General features: G+C 40.1%; 5 pseudogenes, besides 1 other annotated feature; 2 read left to right on the forward strand and 3 right to left on the reverse strand.

Annotated features, from left to right (window-relative positions):
* Nucleotides 5–267, reverse strand: MTND6P6 (MT-ND6 pseudogene 6; annotated as a pseudogene).
* On the reverse strand, nt 266–493 carry MTCO1P35 (MT-CO1 pseudogene 35; annotated as a pseudogene).
* Nucleotides 480–1,374, forward strand: MTND1P16 (MT-ND1 pseudogene 16; annotated as a pseudogene).
* Nucleotides 1,443–1,514, reverse strand: NMTRQ-TTG4-1 (nuclear-encoded mitochondrial tRNA-Gln (TTG) 4-1; annotated as a pseudogene).
* Nucleotides 1,585–1,935, forward strand: MTND2P14 (MT-ND2 pseudogene 14; annotated as a pseudogene).
* Nucleotides 7,347–8,029: an enhancer, noted in NCBI's record as "H3K27ac-H3K4me1 hESC enhancer chr3:106626782-106627464 (GRCh37/hg19 assembly coordinates)". NCBI's record gives its function as "activates a minimal SCP1, AML or CMV promoter by ChIP-STARR-seq in naive H9 embryonic stem cells {active_cell/tissue: H9 hESC(naive)}" and the evidence as "EXISTENCE:reporter gene assay evidence [ECO:0000049][PMID:30033119]".

Raw genomic sequence — 9,597 nt, forward strand, 5'->3', positions numbered from 1 at the left:
TAATCTATTCCCCAGAGTAATCTCAATTGCAACATACATACTAACAAACAGAGATCAACCAGCAACTACCACCGATCAATATCCATAACTATACAAGGGAGCTACACCTATAGAATCCTCACGTAATAACCCTACTTCCTCACCCTCAAAAATTACCCAATTTTCTATATTATTAAAATCAATTACAATTTCCACCTCATCATATTCAACTATTCACCCAACCACCAACAATTCTAACAACAATTCTAATAGTAAAGCACCTAAGATATATTATATTATTTATTCGAGGGAATGCCATGTTTGGTGCACCGATTCTCAGGGGAACTAACCAGTTGCCAAAGCCCTCATTTATGATTGGTATTAATATGAAGAAAATTATAACAAATGTGTCAGCAGTGACGATAACATTATAAATCTGATAATGTCCTGGTAGAGTTCCTGTTTGACCCAGTTCTGCTCGAATTAGGAGACTTAGGGCCATTGCCATAGCATTCCTTATGCTCATTGAACGAAAGATCTTAGGCTATGTACAAATACGCAAAAGACCCCACACTGTAGGGACTACTTCAGCCCTTTGCAGATGCAATAAAACTTTGTATTAAAGAACGCTGTGACTTTTAGCATCCACTATTCCCCTATACGTTATTACTCCAACCCTAGCCTTATCTAATCCCCTCCTTATATGAATCCCTTTCCCCATACCATATCCTCTAACTAATCTTAACATAGGTCTCTTATTTATACTAGCCACATCAAGCCTAGCTGTCTACTCTATCTTATGACCAAGATGAGCATCCAATTCGAAATATGCACTAATTGGTACACTATGAGCAGCAGCCCAAACAATTTCATATGAAGTTACCCTAGCTATTATCCTCCTATCAGTTCTGTTAATAAGTGGTTCATTCAATTTATCTATACTCATCCCAAGAGTTTATTCTGACTACTCCTACCATCGTGACCTCTAACCATATGATTTATTTCCATGCTAGCAGAAACTAACAGAGTCCCATCTGACTTGACAGAAGGGGAATCAGAATTCGTTCCAGGCTTTAATGTGGAATATGCTGCAGGTCCATTTGCCCTATTCTTTATGTGGCATATATAAATATTATTATAATAAATGCCCTAAGCACTATTATCTTCCTAGGAGCATTATATGATATTCATACACCAGAACTCTATACTATAATTTTCATCACCAAAACCCTCCTTTTAACAACCTTATTTTTATGACTTCAAGAGTCATACCCTTGATTCTGTTACGATCAACTTGTACATCTTCTATGAAAAAATGTCTTAGCATTCACACTAGTGCTTTGCAGATGACACATCTCTATGCCTGTCCTAATATCTAGTACCCCACCTCGAACATAAGAAATATGTCGGACAAAAGAGTTACTTTGATAGACTAAATTATAGAGGTTTAAGTCCTCTTATTTGTAGAATTATAGGAATCGAACCTACCCCTGAGAATCCAAAATTCTCTGTGCTACCTAATACACCACATCCTATACTAAGGTCAGCTAAACAAGCTATTGGGCCCCTACCCCGAAAATGTTGCTTTTTATCCTTTCAGTACTAATTAACCCTCTAACCCAACTTATTATCTCTTTCACTATCTTTACGGGAAATCTCATTACAATATTAAGCTCACACTGACGTCTCATCTGAATAGGCCTAGAAATAAACATACTAGCCACTATCCCAATTTTAACTTAAAAAGAAAATCCACTCCACAGAAGAAGCTACCAAATATTTCCTCACACAAGCAACTGCATCTATAATTCTCATAATAGGAATCATTTCCAATATGCTATTCTCTGGACAATGAACCATCATAAACTCAATCAATCAACTATCAACCTTGATAATAATAATGATCTTAATAATAAAACTAGAAATGTCTCCTTTTCACTTTGGGTCCCTGAAGTAAGTTGAACTAAAATTCTGTCTTGGACAACCAGCTATCCCCAGCCTCGACAGGTTTATCACCACTACTCATGAATCCTCTCACTATTTTGCTACATAGATTAGTGTGCTCATTTAGCTATTCTTGAGTAGCTCGTCTGGTTTTGGGGATCCTGGCTAGCGTTCTCTCTGTGAAGTCTGTTCTGGTTAATTCATTATGCAAAGGTGCAAGCGTTTGTCTTTGCTTTTTGATGCTTGGTGTGATTATTTCATCTTTCCCTTGTGGTACTATAGCTTTTGCACCAGAGTAACTACTATCACCTGTACTTTTGTCCCGGGTAAGTGATTTGGTTTAAGGAGATCTGGTAATACAGTTTAATAAAGTTGGGGCTAGAGTTGCCTCAAAGTGGTCAGGTGATATGAAATCTTCCGGGTGTAAGCCGGGTGCTTTAAGTTAAGCTACACTTTGGTTAGTCCAAGAGCACTTTCCAGTACGCTTACCATGTTACAACTTATCTCCTCTATACATATGTAGGAAAATTATTGGTAATAGTGGTCTCTAGACAAGTATTTGAGAGGGCGATGGGTGGTGTGTGCATGCTTCACGGCCTCATTCAATGAAGCACTCTGTTCTTCATTTACCGCTAAATCCTCTTTGAATCTTTAGGTTTCATTATGGTTATTGTAAAATTTTCGGGAAATAGAAAATGTAGCTCATTTCTTACCATTTCATAGGCAACACCTTGACCTAATGTTTTTATGTACATACTTGTGCTTACTCTAAGGCCTTTTTAGGGTTTGCTGAAGATGGTGGTATATAGGCTGAGTGGCGAGAGATGGCGAGGTATATCGGAGTTTACCGATTATACAACAGGCTCCTCTAGAGGGATATAAAGCACTGCCAAGTCCTTTGAGTTTTAAGCTGTTGTTTGTAGTACTCTGGCGAGTAGTTTTGTTAATTTAACTATCTGGGTTTAGGGCTAAGCACAGTGAGGTATCTAATCCCAGTCTGGGTCTTAGCTATATGTTTTCAGGATATCAAACTCACTTTTGTAGCTTATGTAACAAGTCTTCACATGTACCTCTGAGCCTAAATAAAAGTTTTTAAAAGTCTATTAAAAGTTAAGTTCTATATAAAAGAAAATCTTTGTGTTTTTAAAAAATATAAAATACTTTTTACTTAACTTTTACATTGTTAAGAAGACATAAAACTTTATTAAATAAATTAAGAAAATATTTGTTGCTGCCAGTTTAAAATGGCAGACTGAAAAGATGTAGTTACCTCTTCAATGTCTCTCAGTTTTATTTAACTTAGGGTAAAGACATATAATATGAGATAAATTTATAACCAAAGTACGTTTTGGAGCAGAGAGCCCATCCCTGGACCAAATATTCTGATGGCTCTTTCATAGCTAAAAGTAGAAGGAGTTATAAAGGCACATAAACTATGCAGGCAGATGAAGACATAGGTCAGAAGCTGAATAGGAACAGACGTCAGCATTGGTGGAAACTGCTCTTTCTAGAGAATCTAGAGGAGGCCGATGCTAAGAACTAGCAGGCCCAGAGAGTAAGCAATAACTAAAGAGAAGCAATCAAAGGAAATTATTTTAAAACTGTCCACATCACGGTATCTTGGCTCCTCCCAACAGACTCCCATTGCCATGTGAATGATGTCTGACAGGTCTTGCATGTTCCCTGAGCATAAACCAAAGAACTGTTTCCTAAAGAAATTGAATCAACTGCTTGGGAATAGCAAATGTTCCAAGTGCTAGATTTTCCATCTAAAGTTACCTTGATTTTCTCCAGGGTATCCCATGGGCAGACTGTCTGCGTGCTTCTCATCTATGTACCATCTATATACATTCAAATGAAACCTGCTGATTACCAGTAACATCACACACAAACACAAACAATACACAACACACACATATACTTCCCTCTTAGATAAAAAAAGAAATGCTTGTTAGTTTGATATACAAACATATCTAAATAGCAGCAGTGACACTTATCCCTGCAATTTAAGTGAATCAACACTTTTTTATTCATAAAGATGAATGGAAATCCAATTATCATGAGACATTTGGGAAAATCATTGTGTAATAAAAAGTATCAAGAAGAATAAGACAAATAACTGATCCTAGAGAAAACTCAATTAATAAGGAAATAAAACATAATACATAAATAATAAATAATAATAATACATAATAAAACATAAATAACAAGGTCTTTCCTTGTTATTTTTGCTTTCTCCAGGATCAATTATTTGGCTTATTCCCCTTGAAACTTGTCTTTGTGTGAAGATTTTTAAGAAATAAAAGATGTATATCTTCAGTTCTCTTCTGTTCCACTTGACAAGATAATATATCCATGCAAAAGAATAGAATGCCACGAAAAACAAATATCTAAAATGAGTTTTTGAAATTCAAAATATGATTTCTGAAATTGAAAACTCAGCAGAAAGGTTTCCTGATAAAGAAATGTCCTAGAGTACATAGCAAAAAGACAAAGAAATAGAATATAGCAGATTTTGATTCCTAATAAATAGGAGGTTCCAAAGAAAGAACAAAGAAAATGGAGAAGCAGAAATTATGTATGAGTTCTAAATTCCTAGAGTTAAAAACAGCTATGAGACTTTATATTTAAAGGGTCACTAAGTGCCAAGCAGAATGAAATTAAAAAGACCTACACCTAGACACGTAATAATGTAATCTAAAATATCTAGAATGAAGATAAAATATTAAGAGCTTCCAGAAAAAAAAATAGCCTATAAATAATGAGTTTTGGTGTAGAAGATATTTTCAATGCTCCTCTGTGCCACAGCCCCTTGCTGCAGATCTAATTTCAGAACATCTGAAAAGCACATTTCACATAAAGGGACACCTCACAGATACAGCTTCTCAACTCAAGTGCATACTGTCTTTCCAGGGGATAATTCTGGGTGGCATTATATGTGCTTCAAAAATCCTAGCAGACTAAAGCTCCAAGCAGTGACCTCATTACCTTTCCTCCTTCCTTGTTTCACTACTCCCTTCCCTTAACCCTGTTTCTTAGAATATTATTTCAAACAGATGAACTTCACTTAAGTCTTTTTCTCAGGCATTAGTTTAGGGAAACATAAACTAAAATGTTGGTGCTCACATGCCTGGTGACAATGATGAAGGAATAATTACAGCTATGACAGCCTAACAAGAGCAAAGTAAATTTTACTCCTAGAAAAAACAAAATCTAAAAATTAATGACAATTGGCTTTGGGTTTAAGCAATGGGCAGATGCTGGAAGAGTTTGCAGGAGACTGATAGTGAAACCTGGAAGACCTCAAGGAGGCTGTTGGAGAGGGCTTGAAGACAGTGAGGATATTATTAGAGGCTGTCCTGCTCAGCCCAGACTGTTATATCAAAATACCAAAGATTAGGTGCTTAGCCACAGACACTTCTCACAGTTCTGAAGGTTGGAAGCCTGAGATCAAGGTGCCAGCAGATTTGATTCTTGATGAGGGCCCTCTTTCTGGATTGCAAATGACCACCTTCTCCCTGTGTCCTTATGGTACCTAGTGTAATGCCTTCAAGACCTAGGTCAATTTCTATCCACCTTAACTCTGCTTATCTTTAGGAAACAGGACTAAAGTCAGAAGTTTCCCCTTGTGATTAAACCAGCTAAGACTGGTGGGATCTAAAATGGCAGGTCACCTGACCTCTGAAGAGCTTCTAACTTCATTATAATCTAATTTCCATGCTCAGTGACACTCCCACAAGCACCATGACCATTGACAATCACTATGACAATGACCAGAATAAACCATAAAATGACAAAAAGGAAGGTGGCAACTCCCGTTCCAAGAAGTTCTCTACCCACTCCCAGAAAATACATGAATATTCCTCTCCTCGTTTTTAATGCCCAACCCTTTCATTAAATATGCCCTATACCTGCACTTCTAGACGCTCACTTTTGGTTTTGCATATTGACTTCGTAGCACTGGACAGGGAAAGACCCCATTTTAAGGGGGACCAACTTTGTTGGTATCGCTCACATGGCCTTTCCTCAATGTGTGTACTTGTAGAGAAATCCGTCTTTCTTCCTCTTCTTATAAGGGAACTAATCTCATCATGATGGCTCCACCCCCATCAGCTCATCTAAATGTTATTACTTCTCAAAGGCCCCACCTCCAAAGATAGTCACATTGGAGGTTAAGGCTTTTACATATGAATTTGTGGAGGATACATACATTCAGTCCATAACAGTCCATAACATAGTGAAAAGAGGCACTTTTTATGTAGTGGCAGAAAATCTGGCAACACTGTCACCTTTGGCAATAAGAAAAATAGAAAGAGTACCCAGTAACAGTAAATAGTTAGGGAGTACCCAGTAAATAGTTAGGGAGTACCCAGTTAATAGTTAGGGAGATTTGAAGGCAGAATTTCAAGCTTCATCTGGCTGATTTTAGCTGCCTATGATAAAATATAAGAAGAGATAAATGAAATAAAGGGGAAATACTTCCATTTTTTAAATCAAAATTTAAATGAAACATAAAAGGTCAAGCTTTCTGGGACCAAAAATAAGACCGTTTTTTAAAATCTCCAATCTCTCCAGAAAGAGAATGTCATAGTATAAATCTTTTCAAAACAAGGATCAAATTGTGTGGAAGTATAAGATCCTTGATAAACTGAAGAAAGAGCTAAAGTGGTATCTGAAAGATAACTTCAAACAGATAAAGGTCCTTGTATACCCTCTCTGTGACACATTAAGTCTTCTAATAATATTGAGGACATTATCATAGGGAACCAAAGGTAATGAAGGGACTGTCTCAAATAGACTTACGGGTATGGCTGTTATCTAAAGCAGGACTTTTCAACCTTGGCACTATAGACATTTTGGGTCAGATAATTTTTTGTTGGGATGAGGGAGTCTTTTGTGTTGTTCTGTACCTTGTAGAATGTTTAGCAATATTTGTGGGCTCTACCCATTAGATGCCAGTAGGACGCTCTTCACCCAATTCTTTTTTCTTTTTTTTTTTTTTTTTCAGATGGAGTCTCGCTCTGTCATCCAGGCTGGAGTGCAGCATGGTGCAATCTTGGCTCACTGTAACCTGTGCCTCCTGGGTTCAAGCGATTCTCCTGCCTCAGCCTCCCGAGTAGCTGGGATTACAGGTACCCACAACCATGCCAGGATAATTTTTGTATTTTTAGTAGAGACGGGGTTTTGCCATGTTAGCCAGGCTCGGTCTTGAACTCCTGAACTCAGGTGATCCACCTGCCTCAGCCTCCCAAAGTGCTGGGATTACAGGTGTGAGCTACCACACCTGGCCTCTTCACCCAATTCTTGACAGTCAAAATTGTTTCCAGGCCATCTAAATGCCTGTAGGACAAAATAATCTACATTTTAGAACCACTGGTTTAAAAAAGTGGATTATAATTTAATGCACAGAAAGTCCACGAAAACGTTAAAGGAATGATTATCAGCTTGGACTGAAAGAGAGAGAAATGGGACAAAATTAAAGAAAAAGCTCTCTCCAGATATCTAAACAGGAAGGACACTAAGAAAACTACTTAGTTGCAAACATAGGTTATTTTATGAAAAGTTCAATCTTTCCATTGAAAATGAATCTTATGCCCATCTTAAATCTGAGCAGGATCTGTAATTGCTTTTAACTAATAAAATATAATGCAAGTCACACTATGCCAGGTCCTGGCCTTAAGAAACTGGCAGCTTCTGATGGCAACAGTGGGCCATCTGGCGCAACCACTGCCATCACGCTGGCCACCTCAGGGAGGGCACAGGAAGGAGTTGGACAGCCCTCGCTGCCTGCAGCCCACCACCCTGGGAGCCGCCATGATGGGGTTGGGCCAGGTTGCGTGCTGAGGCCACAGGGGCAGCTCACAGCAACGTGGCGCCTGCCCCGGATGTCAGTCCAGGCCTGACCTGGAGTTGCCAGGAGGGTGGGGCTGCAGCCACCCACGTTGTGACTGTGGATCTGGGCCTCCCACTACAAGAGCAGGCAGAAGCCCTGCCCCCCAGCCAGCTGCAGCCTCCCAAACCAGAGCTGCAGACCCAGGCATTCCTGCACTCTTGGGGATCCTGGGAAGGGCCCCCTTGCCCTTGCAGGATTAGAGGTGCCTGCTCCCACTGCCTAGCCTCTCCCAACTCCCAGCATTAACTCCAATATTGGAGCAGGATTGGGGCTGAGCTTGGGCACTGTCATAGCCCAGCCAGGTGTGCCCACATTTGGGGCAGCACTGACATGTCAGCCCCCTGCTGCCTTGGCCCCCTGCAGACTTGAGGCACCAAGAAGTGTGGGAGGGGACATTGAGGTGGGGTTGGGGGTGGTTGGGTGATGGCCTGCAGGTACCAGCAGCCTGGGCTCCATGGATGACGTGGGAGGCAGACAGGCTCCTGGGAGGAAGGGGGTGAATCCCCAGTGAAGCCCCACCTTCAGGCCAGAACAGGCCTGAAGCTGGGGGCCAGGATGCCAGTCCTGCTGATGAGATGGGGAACTTATGGTGCTTTTTCCTGGGCCCTCCCATGGCTGCCCATGCAGTCAGCACATACTTCCTCCCCTCTGAGGTCAATAAAAGCCCTGGGCTCAGCCAGAGCAGGACAGAGAGTGGAGAGAATAGAGATAGCTGATAGCAGAGAGGAACTGCCTTCTGAACTGAGAGCTTCAGAGACCAGCAGAGGCATCAGAGCTACCAGCTGCAGAGAGGGGCTACCCTCTCCAGGGCCTCCACTCTGCTGAGAGCAGCAGACATTGGTAGTAACAGGGAGGAGCTACCCTCTGCAGGTCTCCTCTGAACTGTTCTAACACTTAATGAAGCTCCTCTTTGTCTTGTTGATCCTTCACTTGTCTGCATACCTCATTCTTTCTGGACATAGAACAAGAAGTCAGGCAAAGGCACCACTAGCCATAGAGGTTTCCAGCCAGAAAAACTGACACCCCAAAGATCCCATAACATAACATTTATACTTCCTGTCTCTCTATAAACTTATTCTTGGAACTCAACTGCCATACATGAGAAGCCTAAGACATGGACAGGCAATGTGTAGATACTCCAGTCACCAGCCTGCAGTGAACTGGAACTTAGGCATTCAGGTCATTTGAGCCTTCTCATGACTGCAATATCTATTTCTAACAGACTGCAACCATAGGAGAGATCCCAAGCAACAACCCAGCTAAGTCTAGTCAACACAGGAAACCATAATAAATAATAAATAATATGTTGTTTTAAGCCACTAAACTTTTTAGTGCCTTGTTATCCAGAAGTAGATAGTTGGTAATCACAGAAGAAACTTCGAGTAATTTAACTGACCTTTCAGAGATTAAGCTCTTGGTCATCACACCAGGTAAGCAGTTTAGACAAGCTAAAATTATGGCTGAAAAAAGGGAGAAAATCTAGAATGAACAATTGAGACAAGAGACGATAAATATCTCTAATGGTCTTGGACAAAGTGGCAGCATTAGGAACTGTAGTCTGTTCCATTAAGACTCCTGTATTAAATCTTATAAAAATTCCAGCTGGTTACTACCTTGAAGTATCAGAAACTGATTGAACTTAATGTGGTACTATACTAGTCTGTTCTCACAAGAAATACTCAAGACTGGGTAGTTTACAAAGGAAAGAGGTTTAATTGACTCACAGTTCTGCTTGGCTGGGGAGTGCTCAGGAAACTTACAATCATAGCAGAAGGAACTTC

This window comes from Homo sapiens, chromosome 3 (genome assembly GCF_000001405.40).
Source record: "Homo sapiens chromosome 3, GRCh38.p14 Primary Assembly".
NCBI lineage: Eukaryota > Metazoa > Chordata > Mammalia > Primates > Hominidae > Homo > Homo sapiens.